Below are 25,878 nucleotides of genomic sequence, written 5' to 3'. Positions count from 1 at the left end.
ATTTTTATTTAAAAAAAATTTCTTGGCAATCTGTAGCCTTTATTCTTCCAGATAAATTCTAGAATCACTTCAGATTGAATTAACCTATAAATTACAATCAGAAGAACTGTCATATTTATATGAATTTTCCTATGTACAAATGTAGCATATTTCTCATGTATTAAGTCATATTTCATGCTTTTCAGACAACTGTGTGATTTTTCTTAATGAAACTATAGCACATTTTATACTCTTCTACTTTATATATTTTTTGTTGTTGCTTTATATATTTTTGTATTTATTTTTTAAAAGGACTTGTTTTTTATAATAGTTTCTGTTTCTTTGTGAAACATAGGAAAGCTTCTGATGTCTATGTATCTTTTCTGTATTATAAAATACTCTCGTTGGCCTTAGGAGTTTTAAAGTCAATTTTTTTACTAATTACTTTTTATATTTTTCTATGCTCTGGTAAAACATGAGAATTATTTATCTTTTCAAAGTTTGAAATAACACATTTTTCAAATCAGTTACAGTCTTTAACAATTTTTTTCAGTTATTTTTTCCTTTTAAATCAATGTTGAAAGGTCTTTTTCAAGAAAACGATCCATTTCTTTGAATTTATCACTATAGCATTTTATACAGTATTGTGTTACTTTAAAAGTACTGTGTCTCTTATCCTATCTTTTTTTCCTGATTCAATTTTCCTAAGGTCATTTATTGTGATTATTTTTTCTAACGTACCAAATATTATTTTTAAAAGTCTGTTTATCTAATTTTCCTATTTCATAATTCATTGATTTTTATTTTATACATACTATTTTACTCTCTTTATTTTTTAGATTAGTGTGGTAATCCTCTGAAACTTACTTGGCTGCTTAATTACTTTCATTTCTTATTGCTTAATAAACAAAAACATATAATGGTGTGAATTTGCCAATGATTCTCTTTTGGCCATAAATCATATATTTTGATAAATACTCTCTCGTTTTAGGAACTTTTTAACCAGTTTGTAATTGTACTTTTGATTTCCTCTTAACCCAAGTTTTTAAAGAGAAATGGCACAGGTTAAAAAATAAACTCTTGTTTAATACATATTAATGGAAACTCATTATTATATTCAAATTATCTTAATCTACTTAATAAAGAGTCGCACAGATATATTAAAGTAAACTGTTTTTCTGTAAATTTCTTTTTATATTTCTTATGAGTTTCAAATACATTTTGATGTTATTAATTGGTACATAAATCTGTTTCAGAAGACATCATTTATCAATTACAATGGACCCTTTATCTTATTTTGTGCAATTTCTTTTAATTTTAGTTTATCTGAAATTAATATTGTCATTTTTTTATGCTTGAATTTGCTTGATTCTGTTACATATGTATCTGGGAATTTTATAAACCAAGAGCCTGATAAAAGCAGGTTTGGAAGAAGTTACATTCCCTCTTGCCATCTTTTATTTGGCCCTCCATGGAGGTAATTGAAAAGACCACGCGGTGACCCAGTGTGTGAAACTACCTCCCTCTGTGAGGCCACAGTGCCTGCCCCACCCACACCACCTTCCTGAGGCTTTGTACCTCTGCCACCCTGAGCAGGGAGTGGCACTTGATCCAAAGAGAGCCTCTGAAATGGCTGCACCCGATATCTCAGCAGGTTACCCCATAGAGTGTTGAGTGGGCAACTCAATTATTCCCTCACCTGAAGAAGTCTGAAAGCAAGACGAAGAGAGTCCTTTTGCAAGAGTGATGTACAAAGCCCTACGGACATACAGACTTCGTGTGCAAGTCCTGTGGAGGAGAGGAGATGAGAGAGCAATCGGTTGGTGGCATCTGGGGACATTAAACAGTGACGTGGACACAGTGATGGCCTGCAGTGGTGAACCAGTGAGGGAACAAGTCCTATGGTTGGGGAGCTACCTGAGGCTGGAGAGCAGAGTACAGCCAGGCCCACAGTGGTGCAGCATACCAGGTCTCCATCCAGTTGGCTAGGACAGTGTCCTGTGCCCCTTCTTCCCTGAATCCCCTTCTCACCCTAGATGACCCAAGAGTGTCTCTGAATAATACATTGCTTCCCATTTTCTATTCATTATGCTTCAGTAAACTTTTTTATTTTCTTATTTTGCTATGCAAAATATATTGTTTGATTTTATATGTCCCAGAGACTTGAAAGGATTATATCATGTTCTGAATTCTTCCGTTTTTCAAAAATATCATTTCACTAAGTTTTAGTTGATATTTCTATAACTATTAAAGAAAAACATGGAATGGAATCTCTTGAATCCTAAGTTGAATATGGGAAGGGATTTAGCATGGTTTTATTATACTTCCTTGATACCCCTTTTTCCTTTAAAATATAAACTGAGATTTTTTACAAAGTCTGTTAATAAATCACTATTCTTTTTGCAATTCTTAACTCATGTCTCAAATTCTGTAACATTGACATTATTTTTAAGCTACTACATTTACAAGAATTATTCAGTTTTAATTCTATGTTTAAGTGAATGATTTCAGTGCTTATTTTCCCATATTTTTTATACTTCAACTTCCACATTTCTTATTATAATCAACAAATACCTGCATGGTCATTTCTAGGTACCAAGAATTTTAAGTACATTAGAATAATAACTCAATTAATCCTCACAACAGCCCTATGAGATGAGTGCTAATATTGTCCTCATTTTACAGATGAACAGAGGCACAGAGATAATAACTTGCTCCAGTCACATGACTCGTTAGCAACAGAGACAGGACTTAAAACCCAGCAGTCAATCAGGCTCCAGGCCCATGTTTTTTGTTTGTTTGTTTGTTTTTTTCTCTTTTTCAGACAGGGTCTCACACTGTGGAAAAGGCTGGAGTGCATTGGTACTATCACGTCTCACTGCAGCCTCAACCTCCCAGACTCAAGCTATTCTCCCACCTCAGCCTCCTGAGTGTCTGGAACTACAGGTGTGTGCCACCGTACTTGGCTAATTTTTCGTTTATTTTTTATAGAGTCAAGGTCTCACTAGGATGTCCAGGCTGGCCTCGAACTCCTGGGCTCAAGCAATCCACCTGCCTTGGCCTCTGAAAGTGCAGGAATTACAGGTATGAGCCATTGTGCCCAGCCCATTTTTTTTTTTTTAGATCTGCTCTGCTTCCTATCATTTGTAAGTTCTCAATTTTAGTTAATCTTTCTATAGGTTGTCAATTTTTTTTTTCAAAAACAGTACTTTTATGGTATATTTTCTGAACCCTTATATGCCAGAGAATGGTTTTTACTTCATTTATGAAATCCAGATTAATTGTGTTTAAGTTCACCTGGAGAATATTCTTTAAACAAATAGAAATTATGCTATAACCTTGCTGTGTTCTCCTTCGGCATTCAGTGACACTGAGGAAAGGTCTGATGTCAGCTGGATGTTTAGGAGAATTTTTAAAATCTTTATTCTTCTTACAATGTGGCAAAAGCATTATTCACAGAATAACTTTTAGGAAGAACCCTGTGTTTTGTTTTTGTTTTCCTTCTTCAAAAGAGTGCATTAAGAAACTGCCAGAGCTAAAAGGTGAGACTCTGAAGGCATGTTCCTATGGCAAAGGAAGCTGGTTAGACTTCCAGCCTGAGGCCATGGTGGGAGAGAGGAGAGAAATGGGCTGATGGGAGAGAGGGAAGCCAGTGCGATGACAGAAGGCCACATCATGCTCTGCAATGGCCTCTCCGACCTTTCTCAAACCTCTAAACTCATAGATGCAAATAGATTGTTTGGTGTGCTATGATACAGGATCCATAGAAATTGATGAAGGGCCTGAGTCTACCATGCAAATTGATAAGGGTGGAATGGGCAGTGTCTGGGAAGAGGCTAAAGAGGAAGCAAACTCCCTGGGAAATTTTAGAAGTCACTTGGGAAGACTTCATTTTGTCTCAGGCAACAGACTTGGGGATTAAAGACTGTTTACCTATATCTGTCAGAGACAGGGATTCTCCAGGTTACATTTCCAGCAACCATCTATTTTACAAATTTCTCTGTAGACTTGTAGTAGTTTTCTAATGATCAACTTTACTGAGAAAGTGATTAACACCTTCCATCTACATGATCAGATGTTTTCTTCAGCTCAAAAATATTTTATTAAGTAATCATGGTAACTAGGAACACAGGTACTAGAGCTAGGGTATGCATCAAGGATTTCTCATGTGTAAGTTGAAGAATCTTTTGCAAATTACTTTGCCTCTTGGTGCCTTGGTTTTCTTATTTGTAGAAATAAAACTTTGCTTCCACTTGTACTATTCCATGCAGCAGTAATTATGTGCTTATGGTGATGTTTTAGCACAGACCTGGCACAACACAAGGGATTGATAAAAGTTAAATATTATTATCATTGCATATTTTACTAGTGATTCTATTCCAATTATTCTAGCTCCTTCCTCAGGAATGCCTATAATTCTTTTGCTATTTTTTCTACTCAGAGGTATTTATATCTTTGCTTTCATTTCATATTAATGTAAAACTTCTCAGGTGTTCTCTAAATTACTGGCTTATTATTTTTTTCTTGTTCTTTAATGCCAATAACGTGTGCTTTTATTCTGCTATGTTTTCTTGCATTTTTTTAATCTTACTCATCTCTCATTTCATCTACTTATGTTTTTATTTCATTACTTTCCTTCCTAATATGACTGTCACTCTTTTATGTAGACTGAATTCTAGTGCTTAAGAATGCAAAACTGTTTTCAAATTTTCATCTTGTTTCTATATTAAATGGTTTTTCATAGCTGTTCACTTTTCTTATGTTTTGATATGCAAATTTACTATTGCTTTAAGTGTTTTATGTGTTTATGGATTCTAATAATAAACAAATTGCTTCTTCCTGGAAGAGACATGGAGCCCAATCTTCTGATTACCCCTGAGCAGGCTGTGTTGTTTACCTGTGGTTCTTCTCTCTACCTTCCTGGGTATGAGTAGAATCTTGGGTTTGCAGCTGAACATTGGGCTGAAGCATAGGCTGAAGAAGACATTTTTCTGATATGGAACTTCTCCATCTTCTATAACTTCATCTTTGAAATACATGAAAAACCTGGGGATATCATGGTACCAGTGTCCTTACTCTGCCTTCATCTAAAAATCTTTACTTCGGCTTACCCTTCCATTTATCCATTTATTCATTCAAAACAAATGGCTATTTAGTAACTATGAATTGCATGTCTACTCTATGCCAAGCACTAGTAATAAACTACTAATAAAATAGATCTGATCTCATGTCTCAGGAAGGACCCACAAATAATCCCACAAATATATAGTTGTGAATTATTGTATATTGTGAGGGGAAAGAGTAATGGAGTGAATATTGGAAGTGATCAAGGAAGACTCCTCTGGCACTAACATTTAATCTGATAATTGAAGGGTGAATGGGAGTTATTCAAAAGAATGGGAGGGAGAGCATTCCAGATGCGGGAAACAGGACATGCAACACACACTGAGGCAGGACTAAAAGAAAATCTGCGGCTGGAACACGATGTATAAAAGGGAGGATAAAATGCAAGGCTTTGGAAAAGTAGCCTAGGCCAGCTCAGGTAGGGCCCTGCCAGCTCTTTTTAAGGACACTGATCTTCATTCTAAAACCAATGAAATGCCGCTAACCAGGTTTTAAGCAGTGTAGTGATTGATATGCTAGAATTGGTCTTCAGATGATCAACCTGATTGGTGAGAAGAACATGAATTAGGGTGTCAACCACGGACACAGTTGACCAGCTAGGGGCTAGTGGAATGCATGAGAGAAGATAGTAGCTTCTACCAGGGTAGTTGAGTAGGAATGGCAGGAAGTGGGCAGAATGGAGAGATTTTATGAAGAGCAACATAACAAAATGTGCTGGAAGAATGGAGACAAAGAAGAGTGAGGAGTCAAGCATGCCCCTTAGGTCCTGGTTTGTGCAGCTTTGCTAGTAGAGTTTTTCATTGAGATAAGTTTAAAAAATAGTTTTGGAAGGAAAAAGCATGAGGTTATTTTTAGTAAGATTGCAATTAGAGGAGCCATGAAGACATCCAAGTAGAAATGTCAAAAGGCAGTTAAAATACTGATCTGGAGCTCAAAATAAAGGTTTGGGCTTAATTTGGGAGATTTGTGAGTCTTTGGCAAATGGACCTGTGCTCTGGACATCTTTGAGATCTCCAAGAAAGAGGAATTAACTTGCATAGAGAAGTGGGTTAGGACTGAGCCATGTGGAACTCCACATTCATTGGCTAGGGAAGAGAATGAGCCAGCAAATCATATTAGGTGAGAAAAGTCCACAATGCAGAGAGAAAATCAGGAGAGGGTGTGTGAATGCAGCCACAGGAAGAGGGGGCTTCTGGAAGGAGTAATGGTCAACAACGTCAAATAAGACATTTTGTTAGCTTTAGCCTTTCTTTCCTATTTTTCTAGCGAGGATTGTAAAAAATGTTATTCTGGGGGTTTCCATCTGTGAGTAGCCATAGAAATGGAAGTATTAGTTGGGAATGGGAGGAAGTGAAGAAAAAAATTCAGTCTGGACAATGACTACTAATTGTGTGGAAATTTTCTATATGGTGCAAATCCTGTTTCTCAACCAGAGAAAGGGGCTAGGATTGGGGTTAAGATTACAAAGACTCTGGAATTAGACTGCCTGGGTTCAAATCCCTCTTCTGTTTCTTTGCTAGCTAAGGAGACTTGAGCAAGTTTTCTGTGCACAGTTTCTTCATATATAAAATGGAAATATAAATATTACTTATCACATATTGTGGTTGTGAGAATTCAGTGAATTAGCATTTGCAAAGTATTCCTGCTGATGCCTGGTGCTTAGGAACCTTAGTGATTATTAGCTGTGCTTACAACTTCGAGTGGGCAAGCTCATTCTCTTCCTAGGGGTTGGCAGAGGCGGACAGCCAGTGTAGACCTCAGTAGAGCCTCCTTGGCAGTCTGCTCATTGGCATCCTTTTACCTGGTTGCAAGGATATATTCTCCATTCCGTTTCTTCACATGAATTTTACAGGGCAGTAATAGAAGGTTATTAGCCAGAGAATTGTCGTATGGTATAGTTTAAAAATTTTATTTATTTGACCAGATACTTGAAGAAGCAATCAGCCCCTTATAACAGACAGAGCTACTTGTCAAATAGACTGCCAATTAAGGGCACAGCAAGCTGATAAGACCCTTATGTTTTACTCCCCTGAACAAACAATATAACCCCTTTCAAAAGTGTGCTGTCAGCACCCTTTACAGCAGGCTCTTCAAGGTTGCTCACCTCATGGCCCAATAATAAGTCAGCACCACAGAATATTCCACAATGTTGTAACCCGTCTCAGCGAACAGCTTGTGGTGTGACTTACTGAACCTGAGTCTTATTTTTTTTTCTGCCTGTCACCTTAGAAAACAGCTTATTCAAGATCTTAGGCCTGTGGTCCTATTTTCCATGGAACATGATCCACTCATAAGTCACAAAAGTTCAACAGTATGAAGAGACCCATTCCTTTTTCCCCACCTGCCCAGTTAACACACAAAGACCTCAGCATTGCCACATGCAACTAATGGTATTGCCCACACCTGAATCTTCCAGAGGATTTTTTTTTAAACGTTTTCTTACCCCTACATTTCAAATCACTAAATATAGTATATTATGACACTTTTTTTTACCTTTTTAAAAAATATCTTGGGGAGCTTTTTAAATTAGTATACAGAGAACTCCTTCCTTTTTTAAAGTTACGTATTATTTCACTGTGTGGATATATGATGATTTATTTTAAAGGCCCTTATTGACAGACTTCTGGTGTGTTTCCAGTCCTTTGCTATTACAAACAAGGCTGCAATTAACAACCTTGTAGGTATATCATTTTGCACCTGTGCAAGTATATCTGTGGGATAAATTCCCAGGACTGGGATTACAGGTCAAAGGGTATTTGCATTTGTAATTTTGACAGATATCACCAAATTGCCCTTCATCGGGGTTGTACTCATTTAAATTCCCACCAGCAATGTCTAAAAAGGGTCTGTTTCCCCACAGCCTTGACAACAGGGTATGTTTGTGATCTTGTGGATTTTTGCCAATCTGATAAGTAAAAAATGGGATTGCAGTGTGATTTTCATTTCCATTTCCCTTATTATGTATGAGCTCATGCATCTTTTCATTTAAGAGCCTTTTGCATTTCCTTTTCTGTTAGCTCTCTGTTCATATGCATGATCCATCCATCCAGTGGGTTGTTCCTTTTCTCACATATTTTAAACATGTCCAGTCCTTCTCCTGTCCCCTGCTACCCTGCCCAATTTTTAATGCACCATCCTAGGATCCAATTCTTGTGTTTTTGGTCAAGACCCGTTCTTTCCTGAATTCTCTGTTAATAAGCACATGAGCGTGTGTGTGCAGAAGGGTACATGAGACTATTATTAGAAGTGGAACGAAGCAGGGACGGATGACAATTTAGGACTGACATTCAAACTCTGCCTTTTTTTTAAGCGGTGATTCTGGCAGACTCTCTCCACTTTAGCAGGGTTTCATTTCTTCCCAGTTCTGAGAGAAATGTGCAAATTAGAGAATATGTGTAACCTTGCTAGAGTGGTCCCCCTAGAACAATTATTCTCAAGATAGTAGTTAGGAAAATGGTGGAGCAAAGAATAGAATTTGAGGGAAATTGTCGAGGAGGAATTACCCTTACAACCATCTGTCAGTCACCTGGAAATCCATCAGTAAAGAAGAAAAATGGCCAGGACTCTGTCATCACTGGGGGAAGGCAGAGTGAGTGTCATTCTTAATAGAGATGCTGACATGGTGGGAGAGATCTTCTATGACATGCTCCCTTCCAGGAAGAAAACTCATTTCCTAGGTGTACATATCTGATCTGCCCTGTGCTTTAAAATAGAAATGATGAGCCCAGGTCAGGGGCTGCCCTGGGGTGGGAGGGAAACATAATCAATGCAAAAATTGACCTGGTAACATACACTCACATGAGGTAATGGCTTACTCCATAATACCGTTTAAAGTGAAACTCAGGAAATGGTTTAATATATGACCACCAATTCAGTCAAAATAAAACCAGGTGACTTTGATCTTAATCTAAGCTCTGTCACTTATTAGCTATGTGTCCTGAGACAGGTTGCACTACTTTTGGGCTCAGTTTCCTCTTGTGCAAAATGCAGGGCTGTGTTGCAGCATCTCAGGGCCCTCTTTCAGCTTCATGCATTAGGATTCTCTGTAGTACCACAGCCAGGTTGCTAGCAAACAGAGCCATACATTTCATTTCTAAGCATCTAAAGGAAATTTACTTTTAAATAGTAGTTATCACTAGTGGAAAAATAATTGAAAATTATTTGTGATTATCCATGCATGCTTCAAGTTCCAAGTCAGGTTCTAAAACCTTCCAAGTTGCCACTGACAACTTATTGGCCTCTTCACTAGCCCATCAGCACCCAAACACCTGGGTTCACAGCAGACCTGACTTCTCTCGGGTTATTTTGCTGAGTCATCTTCCAACTTCCATCCAGTAAGTTTTTCCTTTTTTTTTTTTCTTTTCTCCCTTTTTGTAAAAAGAGAAATTTTCAGGCAATCTCCTTTACTCTTGACACTTTGGCTCTTACTTGCATGATGATGAAAGGAAAACCGTGATTACATTGATACTGAATTTCCATACTTGAGCCAGTACTATGATTAGGCATCCTATATGATGTCTCATTCATGTTGTTATTGTCATTGCTTCTAGATTTAAATGATCAGATGTGGGTTTTCCTTTAGTATTTTGTATTTCTGATCACAGAATCTTAGAGATGGAAGAAACATTAAATATATCTTCCAGCTCCATCTCCCACCCATTTCAAAATGTCTTATACAGTATCCCTGACAAAGGGCCATGTAGTTGGTGAATACTACAGCTAATAAGAAACTCATTACTGCACAGGCAGCTAATCACATTGGTATCTTAATAATGGTAGTATGTGACTTCCCATTTTTACCCCTTTAAAAGCAGTGTGACATTGACCCATTGTTCTTTATGCCTTGCCTCATCCTAAACTATTAAGAAACTGAAACTCAAAAAGAAGAGTGACTTTCCCTAAAATTATCACTTTCTCCAAATTAGGAGAAAGCACTTGGCAGTTGGTAGTGTCAATTTAGTGTTTATTTAACAGTAAAAGTGCCAAATACCAGCTGTAATCTTTAGTAGCTGTTTTGTGTTGGGGATGCAATTCCAATTATTACATTTTATGAATTGACTTCCATCAAGGTTGAGACAATCTATGGATGAGTCTGGATTGGATCACAGAAGTAGGATTTTGTCGTAAGCTTTGTTCATCAGACATGACTTCAGAAAATTCACTTCTCTGAGTTTTGGTTTCCTAATAGTATGTAAAATAAAGACAGAAGACTAGACAATTTCTAAACATCACCTCTCCTCAGCTATAGCTTTTAATGAGGCAATGACAGTGCTATACAAATGGAAGACACCTAAACCACTGATAAATAAATGAGTGAATTGAGTTTTTATGACCCAACAAACATATAAACAAGGTAGATAACCATCCACAAGACATAGGCTCAGGGTTGCCAGAAAGTGTTCAGTTACCACCAATATCCATGAACATTCAGATGAAACATGACTTTCAATCCTTGGTGACTTCTGAGATGACATTTCCATTTTAGCCTCTTCAGTATTTTATGGTATTAATGATGCTGGCTTATTATAAATTTTATCACACCTAGAAGGGGAGCACTGAATTAACCTTATGAATTACTGGGTTCCTTTCAAGAAATTGTTTTGATGATGGTTGAATGTATTGGTTGGCCTAGGAAAGGAAGTGGGTCACATGAGCTACTGCTAGGTTGGTGCAAGGGTCCCTGTGGGGAGTGCAAAGAGGAGTGAAGTAACTAAGGGAATAATTATTTGAGCGAAGCCAAATCTTATTTGCATGCTCAGCCCAGGCCAGTCACTGCTTACGACATTGATACACATGGAAGATTATTTTCTGGCACAAATCTGTGTGTGGAGAATTTCATTGTCTGTGGAAAATAACAACTACCAGAACTCAGGAGAAAAACTGCCTCCCTAAACTTTGTAAGATACCAGTAGTGATTTGCCCCACCGAGGGCTAACGAAAGAAGTTGGGCCTTAGGGAATAATCTGAACACCCAAGAAAGATTTCCAAAATTGAGAAGATTTGAGTGATTCAGACAGAATTTAGCAAAGAATTTCACTACTTAGCTTTCACCACCAGGTCCTAATAAATTGTTGGTTTGGCCTACTGTTATCTGGTATTACTCATCTGAGAAATAAGAAAAATATAACTAGCATGGAGAAGAGGAAGAACATTGGCCTGAGAATTAGATCAGAGTTCTGGTTCCAGTTCCATGACTTATGGCTGTCCCTTTTTCATCTGTAAATGAGGGGAGAGATGACTGCTTGTGTTTCTTCCACATTAATAGTCCATACACTTTTTATAAAACAAAAGAATCATATCTACCTAAATTTCACATCTTCAATCCAGAAGTCATTGAACCTATCAATTGAAAATTTCCATGTAATTCAAGTGGTAAATTCCTGACAGCCCACATTTCTCTTCAAGATAAGCTCTTAATTCTAGACTATATATTTTACTTACCCTCCCTTTGCAAATGGTAGTCACCTTTTAAACATTATACACCTTCCTTTTTCCTCTAAAGATCTCATTTTTTTTTCTAAAGGTTTTTACATCCACGAAGCCCTAGGATAAACTAGACGTTTTCTCTAAAATCTCCCCTGACTAGAGTTGTCAGAGAAAATGCAGGACACCCACTTACATTTGAATTTCAGATAAACAATAATGTTTTTGTGCAAGTATGTTTCATGAACATATGTGTGATAAAAATTATCTGTTATTTATCTGAAATTCAAATGTTAGTGGCATCCTGTATTTTGATTTGCCAACTCTAACAACCCTATCTTTGACCAGACTTTTCTCTTCTTTTCCCCAGATCCTATAGATCTCTGTTTGAGTCATTCCATGTGTACTTACATTATTATTCATCATTTTGAGTGTCTGTGTCTGTCTGATTTCCCTAACTAGATTAGAAATTCTGTGAGAGACACAACTGGGTGTTACACATTTTGCATCTTCTCCTACCCCCAATGGCACCTTTTATCATTTTGTAATTGGTAGATTCCTGTGGGACTCCTTCACAACTGATGGACTTGCTCCCAGTTATCAAAACATGGGCCGCCTTTTCCTCAAGCAGACTCAGACAATATAACCATGTCACATTTGCCTAGACCCACAGGAAAATAGGATGAGACTCAGTGAAAGTTAACACTGGTTCCAGAGCAGGTGATCAGTGTTACCAGCAACAATGAAAAATAGAAAGTAATCTATTTCTAGTGAATTGAAAAGTTCTATGAGGTCATTGCAGAACTGCATTTTTGGCTAGACAATTTTGTCCTAGCTACACTTTAACCTACAATTTCTGTCTTGCAGGACACTGAACCAACCTCCTCACATATTTGAAATGTCTTGTAAGGTCCTGAGTTCCTTTTTGTGTCCATGTGCAAACATTCAAGGTTATATATCCCTTCTACCACCAACCTACATTTCTCCTCAAAATAAAGTTCTTTACTTTAACTTCCTTTCAAAACTGAATCTATTTTTTCCCTTTTGAGTCTTACCTCCTTCCACAGATTACTCAACATTTCCCAAAGACACCTTGAACCTCTGCCTGCCCTTCTGCTTCTGTCTCTAATGCTCCTCACCTCTGCCTCTCCAAATCCTACCCATTCATAGAGTCACTCATCTGTGAAGTTGTAGAGCAAAAGGAGCTCTAGGAATCTGGTCTAACTATGAAGAATGATGAACCTCAGGTCTATGCAACAATGCTCGGGAGCAGAGTGACCGAGCCACGACTCAAAAGTGACCCCAAAGTCTTTTATTTGTTCCCTTTCCATGTTCTTTCTTCAAGAATCAGCTTTAGCTACCATACCATCTCTTTCTGAAAGATTTTACTCATCATTGCAGCCAGAAATTTTTTCTCTGTCTCTTCTAACCTCAGGTGGCATTTTGGTTGTAGCCCTCTTGAGATACTTAGTTCTTTTTAGGTTGTGTTTTTGTTATTGGCCAGGTTCTGAGAGAAAGCTATTCCCTGTGCTGAGAGCAAGGATACTGGGTGGTCCCTGGGGTGCTGTTTTCCTAATGGCCTGATGGTGCAAGTGGAAAGAATAATGAGTAGATGGTATTGCCCAATAGCTAGATAATATGACTAAGGCTTGAGTCAGCAAGGGCTATGACTATCCTTAACATTCTGGGCAGTGTTTAGGGTAAAGAAGCCACTGTGGGAAAATGGAGCAGGGTTTTCTGGATGATTCCAGGGTTACAGATTAAGTATGGTGGAGAAGAAATGGTCTTTGGCAGAATATCATCATATCTCATTATATTCAACCTAAGCCCAGGATAACTTGTCATAAAGAGAGATACACAAAATGCAAAAACCTAATGTAACTCTGACTCTGTGATTACAGCCTTATCCAAAATCTCTGGAGGTAACACCAGTGGAAGCAACCTTAGAAGAGGAATGAGTTGGCAGGAGGCAAGAGGCAGGAAAGCACTGAGTAAGAGCTGGCAGTGTCAGTGTCAGCATCAGATCAATTATAGAGTGAGTTGTGTAAGCGCACATGCAGTAGCCTCAGGTCTCAACGTCAGAATGAACTGGCTCACCAAAGAGCATCAACAAAAATTCCATACAACAGCAGATCACACTTAGTCAAATTTCAGCAAAAATTATACTTCATATGGGAAGTTTTGCATCAACAATCTACCTTGTGGCTATTAATTGGCTTTAAATAACATGACTTTTTATCAACATCATTTTCTTTCCAATTTTTTCCCCAATGTTGAAACAAGAGGAGTGTATTTAGAGTCAACAACCACACATGGCTAATCTCTCAGTGAGTCAAACTCTCAAATCCTTGCTTTCAATGGTTGTGTATATAGTCAACAACCAACCAAGAGGTGGCTCCTATGTGTCAGGCATGGAGCCAGGCCCCATATGCAGCAGAAAATGAAACAGGCATGACCCCTGTCATCATTGAATTTGGTCTCATGATGCAAAACCATAAAACACCCTTTATGCACCATTTGACACAAGAATTAAAATATCCAAAAAGTTTTAATATATAGAGAGCAGGAGATTTTATAATGAAAACCCTTTTTTTTCATTTTTAGGAATGTTTCATCATGAGATGTGAGCATCATGTTCCAGGCCCTGAGTGCTTCATAAAAAAAAAAGTTCCTTTTCCACCAAAACAATGCCCTGATTTGAGTGCTTCATCAAAAGAGAAAGATTTCTCATGATAAACCATATTCTAAGCACTTAGATCACAATATAGTAAATTTTCAAAAGGAAGTCACTTTTGCCAAGATATAAAGGCTCATGTACGTAAATTCTATGCTTCCAATATAAGTACATTTCAAAAATATTATTAAACCCTTATTTACTGAGTGCTGCTTATATGCCTCCTATTCTCACTCTTTTTTGTGGTTGAATTTAATCAACACACAACTCTAAGGAATAGGCATGACTCATTATTTTCATTTTACACTTGAGGAAACTGAGGCACTCAGTGTTTTACATATATAAAAATGAGTATGAGGTTCAGCCAAAATTCAAATACCGAACGTCTGGCTCCAAAGCCCACATGGTATTCACCATAAATAGAAATTTCATACTAGAAATCATATTGTTTTCTTTCCCTCAGGAGCAATTTAGGAAATAAATTAAAAACTTTAAAGTGGTGATTTAAAGCAACTCACCTTTTTGCCAGTTATACGTTACCTTAAGAGAAAATTGCAAGAAATGAGAAAGATAAAGCTTGATGAGGATGACACTATCATGAATCACACGAAAAGAAAAGAGGATTATTTAGCATATTGAATATGAAGTTGTAGATTCAGGGCAACATCAAGACGGATGAACTCCCCCACCAAGCTGTTTAACAAACTGGCTCTCTGTCGAGCTGGCCATGCCGAGTTAGTAGCAGATCTGCAATGATGCCTCTACCAAGCTCACAATTATACAAATGGTGAAGCAGCAGGAAAGCACATAGAAGAGGGCTACACAGAAGATACGAGCTCCAGTCAGGTCATGACACAAAGCCACAGAACTTAACTGGGAAATGAGCAATGCTTATGTGTCCAGCATTGTCTTAATTGGTTTCCCATGCAGAGAGCTCAAAGAGCATCCTATCTGATATGCACCAGGCAACAACTGAGAACAAGGACCAGCCAAAGTCATCAGAAGGGTAGCACAGTTGCTGCTAGCAGGTAGGTGGATTACATGGGATGCTTGAGTGAAAGGTGAGACTCAGAGGCAGCTGGTCTAAGTTCCCAAGTTTCAATGGGGAGTTCCCAAGTCAGAAACCACCCATTGATTGTTCATGCCCAGACATCCATATCCTGGGAAGCAGGGATTACAGATTTATTTATAAATATGTCTCACCATCTCTATAAAAGCCTTGATAAGGAAAGCCACACAACTTAAGTTGGTTTGTAGCCCTGATGCTTCACACACTGAGTGCAATAATTGTTTGTCAGTTCTGTTGCACATGTGCTTTCTTGTTTGAGTTTATAGGAGGAAAACATTAGCCCCCAAATGCTTGGTTTGCCTTCCTTTTGGATGTGGTCAGTTGTTATTGAGAGAAGTGCTCAAAGGCTTGTGGTAAAGATCTGACATGCAGGGCTGCCCCGAGGCTTAATGTTGACTCAACTGAACATAAAAATCAACAAGAATAGTGATATCACTCAGTAGTGTATGGTGTGTAGTAAAAACTAAACTGTCAATATGTTTGAAAGTCATTACGTCCCACACTGTCAACATAAAATATATCAAGAGGCTGATTGAGGCAATAACCTCTCTTTATAGAGCACTAGGAAGCAGAGATAAGGATGTTCTCTGAGCAGTTGTCACAATGCAGGGCCAGATGTTGCTAGCTGACTTTTCCCCCATTGACCATAACATCTCCCTAGGAATCCCGAAGGGCAGCTCCTGGTTCCTGACAGTAGCCTAATTCACCACATCAAGAGAGTTATGAGGCCTGACCAGAGAGCCACTGAACCTCACAGAGTCAGCCAGGCTGGTGCCGCCCTCTTTGGGCCTCTTGCCAAACCAGCTCAGGGACAGGGGCATAGGCTTGAGGCCTCGGGGGAACAGGATAAGTAACCACATCTAGTTTAGGGGGCATGAGAGTAACATTTAATGATCTTGCATTGGGAGTGAGTTTTGGTATTGGGAGCCGCCTCGTATTTGCTGCTTCATTCTTCCCAGTTGTTACGAGATGTTGGCATTGCTATTTCTGCAGCAACTATGGCACATATGGGACTTACGTGAACTGCTCCGATGCCACAAGTCTGGTGAGTCCTGAGACTGGAATTTGGCCTCAGTCTGTGGATATCAGAGCAGATCATCATCTTTACTGGGTCCAGCCAATTAAACTCAGAATAGAATCTGAGTCAGGGCCAAGAAAGATCTTGAGGACAATGTGCCTATGTTGTGCAATGTTTGTGTTATATCACATTTTAAAATACAGTTTATGAAAAGAAAGAAAACAATTATAAAAGACCTGAGCATACACTGTGAGTCAGATCATAAGTCCTATTACCATCCTATCTTGGAGAACCTTATCCTCAGACATGAGCACTGTTGCAAGTTTGACATTCTTGAGAGCAGGTTCCAATGCTGGTGAGGGGAATCCACCCAAGCTGGAACTGTCATGCAAATTCACTTTTAGATTAGTTTGTACAGTATTTTAAACTTCTTAGGAAAGGCCACTAGAGACCTCCCAAAACATATATTCTCTCCTGCTTGAAGAAACACATGGAGTTAGTCTGACAACTCATTTATCTTGACTCCCACGATAATGTTTAGATGCTTCCTAGACATGTCTATCATCAAATGCTCTGTGTTCCAGAAGAAATTTTTCCAGCTGACCTAAATCGTGACTGTAGACAGTAACTGTTCAACACACTTTGTGGTTTCAGGAATTTGGAGGATGGTGTGCTCAGGAGCAAACCTTTTGATGGTCTATCACACCCTCCATGCAACTCACTAACGAAAGTCAGTTTCCCTCTCAAATTCCCAGATTGGCTCAGTCCTGTTTTACCTCTTGAATCTTCCTGAAAATAGAGCAGAGACAGAATGAGAAACACCTAGACTCAGAGAGGAAGAATGAGCCAGTGTTGAAACAATCCTGCTGACGAGCGTTCTGTAAGACTTTCAACCCTTTCCTTTACGCAGTTGGTTCCCATTTTAATTCCTTTTCATTCTCTTTACGAAAATGTATTCCCAAGTGGCTTGGCATAAAATACTAATTCTTCAGGTGCAGGCTTCCCTGCACATACTGTCTACATGTTTTATCTCCACTATGCATCTGCTTGGTTCCCTCTGGCTTTGAGTTCTATCCCTGTGTATGTGTGCTGCTGCTGCTGAGGAGGGATATGAAGAGAGAAGTGAAAATCTGATTGCTCCTCAGTTTGAAACTTCTCACAGAAGTGATGGGGTGAGAGCATGGGTCAGGCAGGAGGAAATGGGTTTGTGTGTGCAATGTATAGGCAGGACAGAACTCCAGAAGCCTCTATCCAACCCAGTTTCATAAGGGATGCTGGCAATTGGTTGTGTCCACCAGGGCCTCAGCAGCTTGTCTCAAAAGTTAGGCAAGATTATTCTTTACTTGAAAGCACTAAGAGAGATTGTTTATAAAACATGATGATTTAAGCCAAAAGAATGATTAAAATGAACTATTAATGATAACTATGTATTTCATTACAAAATAAAGTTTATGAATAGTTAGCTATAATGTACAGTGGCATTCTAATATCATCTCCTAATTCTGCCTCATAAAGAGATATGCTGGTTGTTCTCACTCAAAAGTGGGAGTTAAACAATGAGAACACATGGACACACAGGGGGAACATCACACAACAGGGTCTGTTGGGGTGGTGGAGAGTTAGGGGAGGGATAGCATTAGGAGAAATACCTAATGTAGATGACAGGTTGATGGGTGCAGCAAACTACCATGGCATGTGTATACCTATGTAACAAACCTGCATGTTCTGCACATGTATCCCAGAACATAAGGTATAATTTAAAAAAAGAGAAAAGAAAAACAGACATGTTAGTAACTTTTTCCTAAGGTCACCAACAACATTATTGTTTGTTTTGTATCAGACAGCAATGCCCCTTCTCCTATATCCCATTTCTGCTGATTCATCACAGTCTTTCCTCACTGGACTGATTGTTTTCCATTCCAGGGCTCTTATTAATAATTTTAATTTTTTCCATCTGCAGATGCCCAAACTTCAACGGGAGCTTAGGCTTCTGGAGGGAATGCTGACTTTCCTTCCTCTGTTGTGGAAAAGGCTAGCTGCCTGGTCTTCTTAATTCTAGAAATGACTTTGATGTGCCTGCAGTTCTCTTCCACTCCAGCTTTAGCATTCTGCCCTGCCTATATTCTCTCTGCTGAAATTTTTCTCTCCTCTTCACTGTGATGAAGTCAGGGACAGACTTCCTAATTGTCCTAATTTGGAACAGAGCTCAGGCCATAAAGCATCCTCCCTGAAGCCATTGATGGAGCAAGCATCTTCATCTCATCACATCCAATATTATGAGCTAAATAACAATAGAATCATAAGATTTCCTCAAGCCACATGTTAGTGTTAATAATGGCTTCCATAAATATATTTTGTTAAGACATTTCAGCATTTTCTAATTATTTTCACACATATTTCATTGCTTAAAGATACTAAACTAGTCAGGACCCATATTCTCATTTTGCAAATAAGAAAATGAAGTCTCAGAGAGGTGCACTATGTGTTTAAGTTCAAAACTGGTGTCAGAAACACAAGAATTATTGTCTTCTAAAACTTTGTTCATGATGCTTCTTGCCAGATGTGCTTATGGAAAACTATTGTGTGCAATGACTTCTGGCAAATCAAATCAGTTGGCCCAGGGGAAACAGGCTATTTAAAGGAGTCCCACTGTGAATCATTTTGTGAAGTAAATATTCTCTAATGCATCCATTTTACAAATCTGGATTTTCAAACAATGTGTATCTGCTGAAAGTGGGGTACCTGTGAGCCTCCACGTTTCAGACATTAAATCATCCTTCACGTTCCTCCTGATTAGAGGTGGCTGTAGGCTGGCTGAGTCTGTGACTTGTATAAACGGCAGCAGCAGAGGGGCAGATAGAGCCTCCGACAGACACTTGAGCAAGTCTAGTTCCTGGATTTGGCTTTTAAATCAGCTGCTTTCTATTATCTGCCAGTAAATGATTCCTCCCAGGTCTGAAGAGCTGAAGACCTTGGCCCAGGTCAGCACATAGCTTCTGTTCACTACCTCTTGGCTTGACCCTGTCTCACCTTCCTCTGTCTCCTGAACTCCTGGTGCCACCACTCCCAATTCCAATGGGGGATTTTGCTATAAATACGAACCCTTGATCATACTTTCCCCTTCTATGTTTTTGTCTAACCCTTTCCCCCAACCTTGTTTCTTCTGATCCCGCTAGTTGCAGGGTCCTCAGCTCAAATAGATTCTCAGCCCTGGATGTATATTAAACTAATCTGGGGAGCTTTCACAATTTTTCCAACACTGGGGCTCCATGATCAAAATTCCAACTTAATTGGTCTGTTATGGGGCTTGAATGCAATGTTTTCTGTTGTTTGATTTTTATGCTATGTAGGTGAATTGAACATACAACAAAATGGAAGACTTATGATATACTTGATGGCCTGACCTTGACCCTGACTCCTGATTATCAAATGATCCTTGCATTGGGTTGAATTGTGTCTCCCAAACTTCATATGCTGAAGGTCTAACCCCTTCAGAATGTGACCTTATTTGGAGATAAGGTCTTCACAGAGATCATCAAATTAAAATGAAGTCATTAGGGTAGGCCTTAATCTAGTATGACTGGCACTCTTAAAAACAGGGGAAATTTGGAGGCAGACCCATATGCAGTGAGAATGCCACGTGAACATGAAGAAAGCCATCTATAAGCCAAGGGGAGGAGCCTGCAACAGATCCCTCCCTCACAGCCCTCAGAAAGAACTAACTTTGCCTATACCTTGATTTTAGAGCTGTGGCCTCCAGAACTCTGAGACAACAATTTTCTGTTGTTTAAGCCAGCCAGTTTGTGATACTCTTTTACAGGAGCCCTAGCAAACAAACATTTCCCTTAAGACCTCATTGCAGTTGCCCTGATCCTGTAGCACAGCTGGAGTGACCAATTTGTTTCAGTTTGCCTAGGACATTCCTGGTTTTAGCAATGAACGTTCTAGGTAACAGGAACCTGTTTATTTCTAGAGAAACCAGGACAGTTGATTACCCTAAACAAAGCATAATGATTATGTGTGTAGGTTGCAGGACCTGACAATCTGGGTTTAAAATCCATCTCTGCTCATTCTTGGCTATGTTGCTTTCAGCCTCAGCTCCTATAGCTGCAAAACGACCTATCTTGTAGTGACATTGTGTGGATAACATGGACCAATGTGTGTAAAACTCACAGAATATTTCCTGGTACAGCATGAGTACTCAATAATATTTAGTAAGTTAATATTTTTATACAATTAAAATCAGAAAACAGTCATACAAATATATTTCCTTTTGTGATAGTAAGATAGTTAAATGGCCTTGCTTTAAGAGCTGAATGTAGTCAAAGTTACATGACTTCCATTCACTCATTCCAATCCTGGTTTTTCTTCATGTATGACTGTAGTATGGTCTTGGCATTTCTCAGTACTTCTGCTCTTTCTTACATGATGCATATTTACCACAAGGCTGGCTCTAGAAATCAAAACAAACAGAAAAAGGAATTGTCTTAACCATTTGGTATGTCTATTTCCCATCTCCTTGCAATACCATGAGGGAAACCACCCATGGGCAACAGGTAACAGGCATGACCTGGTCTGACAGTGAAACTTCTAACCCGTCAGAACCAAAAACGTTCACTCCGGAAAGAAGGCAGGCTTGCGAATGAGGAAGTGTCAGTTCTCTGAGGACAGATAGAGGTCAGGAAGAGAATTAATAGAGGGATGTTACTGAGGTAGAATTGGTCAGGAAGCAAAGGCATTGCTGGGCGGCTATGGAGGGTTGGGGTTAGTTCAGACAGAGGGAGCCGCACCAGTAAAGACAGGAAGACATGAAACTGCCTGGCATGTTAGGAGACTGGAAGTAGAAGATCACTCATAAAGGGAAGAAGAGAAGTCATGTTCCTACATTCTGGCTTCTCTGGAGTGTAGGAACATGTAGGGAAACAGCAAGAGATGAATTCAACCAATCCTAACTTTTCCCTCTTTGGCATAAGGCTAAATCACATAATCAACACTTTGTGAGAACTGCCTCCAAAACCAGATTTTTAATTCACTGAGGATAGGGCAGTAATTTTTACTTTTAAAAAATCCTCCTAGTAAAATTTTGGTATAAGTCACTTACTAGTAAAAGTAGTTAATTATGTCAATAACTCTTTCAAGATGGACAGATGTTGAACATATATATATATATGTATATATTCTAAAATTATTGTATTTGGAATCTGTGTGTTACCTTGCAGAATTCATTGTGCCAACCCCCTTTCACCACCCTTCCCACCCTTGGGCTTATCTGGAATCTGAATCTGTCCAAACCTGCCTCACTATATTCCAGCTACAACTCCAAATTGACTTCCATGAGCCCTGGTAGAATATAAAACTAGGGCTTTGGGGAAAAAGGTCATATTTACAATAAAGGTTGCATGGTGTTCACATCTAAAGCCATTTTTATAATTTTCCTTATTTAATTGTCTCTTTATTGCTTGATTTTTAATTTTGTTTTCATTCCTAGCAATTTTTGACTGTCTTTGATTTCTCTTTTCTGGACCTCTTTGCTTTTCTCCATATTAACTGCTCCCTGATCTGAACTTATGGATTTTTCTGGATGTGTAGTCACCGCTAAAGCCTTTCTATTCAAAAGGTATCAGGGATTCTTGCCCCTGGTTATGCATGACAGTAACATGTGAATCACACGTGCAGTTTGTTGCATAGCCTCTGCCCAGGAAATATGAATTCAGTAGAAACAGAAGGAGTACAGGAACCTGTAAAACAAACAAAATACCAAACAAAGAACATTGAAAAGGAACAGGAGAAAATCCACAAATCATTCTCATGTGCAGGCTGGAATGAGAAGCATTTAATTGGACATAATATCTTAATTTCCATAGGCCTGCCATTTTCTATTGCTGCATAAATCCCAAATTGTATTGCTCATCACAATGTAGCAAACAGAAAGACAGAGGAGTCCATATGTCTGCAGGTACCAGATATGGGACCACTACAAATTCACTATTCTTGCAAATTTTAGTGCAGAGACAACATCTGTAAGGAGAGAAGATGCAAACATCTTCTATTTCTATCTGGCCCACTAATTATACCTTGAATATTAGGAGATTTGGGGATAAGGGGAGGGTCAGAACATAACCCTAATAACATAAAACCTGTTTGGAAAACCAGGTAAATTTTTAGTCTTGTGAGTTATTGTAAGTGTCATTGAACATGAACATTCTTGGAAATCAGATGCTTTCAATGAAATCTTGAGATTCAAAGCTGTAGGCTTTTAGAAAAGAAAAACTGAAGAATGGTTTGGTTATCATGATGCCTTCAGTGGGGAAAATGGTCCAAGCATGAGAGGCCATGGTGACCTTCACTAAGCAAAGCTCGTCTCTTCTGCTGCCACTTCCCCTTGGTGTAGCTCTTTAATCTTCGAAGTGTGCTGACATTGTTCATTATCCCAGACACCAACAATATTCAATTGGTTTCTACAGGGATGTCCATTTTATGAAGCTGAATGTGAATGAAAGACCTTGGTGTAAGTGGTGCACTTATCGAACCAAGACTTTACCATGTTATTCATTAGGCAAGTGAATTAATGTCAGGCCTCCTTATCTATCGGGCCATCATGGGACAGGCCAGCTCCTTGACGGGATTCTTTCATGAACAGTTATTTGTGTGAGAGAGAAGATCTTAGTGAAAGCCTGAAGGGAAGTGCCAATGAATTAGAGTATTTTCTGCAGAGCAGATGCTCTATGAACAGGGAAGGAAAGCTGCATTGTAAGACCTAATACTTCATGTGCTGCCTTGACACCTTTGAGCCTCACAGGACCACGAGGCCCTAAGTGTGAGTTCCTCTGCTCTCTCCAGAGATGTCCCCAACCCAGCAGAAAGGCTTCCCACCTGGCTAGTTCTACTATCAACTAGACAAGCTGCACCCCTCCCAGCGCTTAACCTAATGGGTTTCACCTCCCTTCCAGCCAGCAGTTACGCAAACAAGCCAATCACATCCTCCTGTGGGAACCAGGGGTCACCTTACCCTCGTTGTTACAAAGCCTGCCTCCCACATCCCCTGATGGTTCCCTCTGTTCTGAGTGCAACCCCTAGGTGGCCTTACATGATGTGTGGTGTCCTCTTCCCCGGCTCAACCCCTGGACTGTGAGTACACATGACTAATAAACTGCTGCCAGCCTCATCTGCATGGTGTCAGTGTAGGTGTGCAGTCATCTAGTATTAATTTAGGGTGGGGATGTCTTCCATCACCAAAGGGGTAAATAGGAGGCTCAAGTTCTCTCTGTCTGCAGAAGCACTTTGCCCTTGGTGATCACAAAATAGGCAGTCAGGGCCCTGGTTTCCAAGACAAGCATTTCCAATTAGGTCTGTAACATAAACCCCCTTAGACTCAGTTTTTCTGTCTGATACACAGACATCATAGCATTGGTATCCACCTGCTGCATAGGTTTTTATGACATCTAATAATGGTGCTTTTGAACAATATAGGCACTAAAAATCTGTAGAGCTATTCTATAATAACTGAGTTGTGTTTTTAGAATAATTTTCTTCACTTAGTCTGGGATGGAATGGGGTTACAAAAGCAACTGAACAGTGTCTTCTGAGTGATCTAGAACATTCTTTCTTAGCCTTCCTATACCTTCCCCTGAGAAGTACCTGGAGAAGGAGGAGTGAGAGGAAGAGGGAAAGGAGGAGGAGAAAGGAGAGAGGACAGTATGCGGCCAAACTGACAGAGTAGTGTTATTTTCCTTTGCGATATTCTAAGACAAATGTGCCTAATTGTACCACCTCACCTCTGCATATAGAGCACGGTTTGGGCATGAGGTACAGGGATGAGCAAGAGTCAAGAATTAGACATGCACTCTGACTGTAAAGGACATTATAATATAACTTGGGTGACAGACAGCTTTAAGTGTCTTATAAAACATTTCACGAACAAGCAAATATTGATATATCTTTTTCTCTCTGCTTTTTTCAAACTCTTTTATCTTTCAAATTTCTACAGCTACATCAAAAGTCTTCCCCAAAGCTCCATTCCTCAATGACTGCACAAATTGCTAGAAGTTTGAGATTGACACAGACTTTAAAGTTCAGTTATGCCAACCCTGATCTTCCCTTTCCAACTTGCATGGTGTGCAGATGTTAAAATGAGCAGGTGTGTGGGGTGAGAATAAAGTACCTATGACTAGAGGCTTGGGGGTGGGGAGAGAAAGTTGCATAATGGACGACTGGGGGGATTTGCCACATAATGGAGTGGGGAAAGAAGACTCGAGGGAGAGGGAAGATCACTCGTAAAGGGAAGAAGGGAAATCATGGAAGGCAAATGGCAAGGTCAGGAGGCTTAGAGGGTCAAGTCCATGTGAAAGGGAGCCCAAAAGTAAGATGGAAGCGTGGCTGATCCTAGAATGACTTATTCCCTCTACTTAAAAAATATTAAATTTATATTGAAGATAATGGAGAAGCTTTAAAATATGTGTGTGCATGTGTGTGTGTGTTGTGATCAGACATGTGCTTTAAGAAGCTCACTGTGGCAGTAAGTAAAATGAGATCGCACTGGCAAATTGAAAACTAGGGAGGACTATTTAGGGACTCAAAGTCTGAAAGGGGGAGGGATCAATCCATACCTATAACTGCCATGAAAGGAAGAAGTGGGTTTGGTTTATGTACACTTTGTGTAAAAGTAGAATTCAGTGTATGCACTATGCATGGCTGTGTGCTCCTACACCAACTTTTCTATTTTGTACGTGGGTGACCTAGGGCAAGTTCTTCTCTTTCTTTAGGACTCTTCCTCCTCTGTAAAATGAGAGGGTTAAATTAGATCTATTATGATTGCTTCTAGCTCTTAACACTCTCTAAGACTATGATACTGGTCCAATTTGAATGGCATCCAAGGAAATTTGGTCAGAGGAATTCCCAAAAGAGCTCATTATAAAGTGGTCCCATAGATTACAGTCCCAGGGCAGCTATGGCAAGACTTAAGAAGACTATTACTAAAGATAATAATAGTGTTTTGTTTTTATACAACACTTTCACAACTATAATCAGCATTAATCTTCACCCCATCATTGTGAGGTAAAGTGGTATAATGATCATTATCCACATTTTAAAGAGGAGGCATTGAGTCCTTGAAAGCTCAACAGACCCGCCTGAGGTCCCAAACAAGTCATGTTTGAGCCTGGACTGGTATCCATGTCTCTGAGGCTGTAACACTGCTCTTCACATGCCCTGGAGCTGCCTCGGGGCCCTCCTAAGCCTTCCAGGTGCCTGCCTAATGAAGACTTCAGCCAGTCCCCTCCAATGAGCCCTGAGGTCAACAGTTACCAGGGTCCACTTCAGCTTGGTTTGTTAGATTGGCAGGAATGGCCCTGAGTATTTATGACTTACTCACGGTAGAGAAATATTACTGTGAAGAGGTTCCAAGCAGCTTCATTTTGAGAAGAAGGGAACCCTCAATACAGTTACATGCAAACAAAATCTGAAATGCTCTCATTTTCTATGTGAATTACAAGTCAAAAATGCAACTTCTTGGCATTTTTCCAAGTGGCTCAGAGAGCTTCACAGTTTATTTTCAGCCAAGTGTCCTGGCCTAGGAAATGAGATTTCGTAGGA

General features: G+C 39.3%; 1 protein-coding gene and 1 long non-coding RNA gene across 3 annotated transcripts in view; one reads left to right on the top strand and one right to left on the bottom strand.

The window, feature by feature from the left end:
- SLC14A2 (solute carrier family 14 member 2) overlaps nt 1–14,986 on the bottom strand; it is a 515,726-nt gene extending 500,740 nt beyond the window's left edge. The window contains exons 1-2 of the mRNA NM_001371319.1: nt 14,741–14,986; nt 1,679–1,767 (exon numbers count right to left, since the gene is read on the bottom strand). The gene's annotated coding sequence lies outside the window, so the exon portion shown is untranslated. The remainder of the gene's footprint in view (nt 1–1,678; nt 1,768–14,740) is intronic.
- On the top strand, nt 1,581–24,393 carry LOC101927961 (uncharacterized). Of its 2 annotated transcripts, none has more exons than XR_243875.4 (5): nt 1,581–1,948; nt 2,971–3,063; nt 13,428–13,517; nt 14,131–15,228; nt 24,275–24,393. It is a non-coding gene; the product is annotated as an uncharacterized LOC101927961 (long non-coding RNA). The 2 variants fall into 2 exon arrangements; XR_430098.4 differs by having other exon boundaries at nt 13,428–13,561.
- Nucleotides 24,394–25,878: the final 1,485 nt, after the last annotated feature.

This window comes from Homo sapiens, chromosome 18 (genome assembly GCF_000001405.40).
Source record: "Homo sapiens chromosome 18, GRCh38.p14 Primary Assembly".
Taxonomy (NCBI): Eukaryota; Metazoa; Chordata; class Mammalia; order Primates; family Hominidae; genus Homo; species Homo sapiens.
Note: the sequence above shows the minus strand (reverse complement) of the source record. Positions and strands in the feature narration are given on the sequence as shown.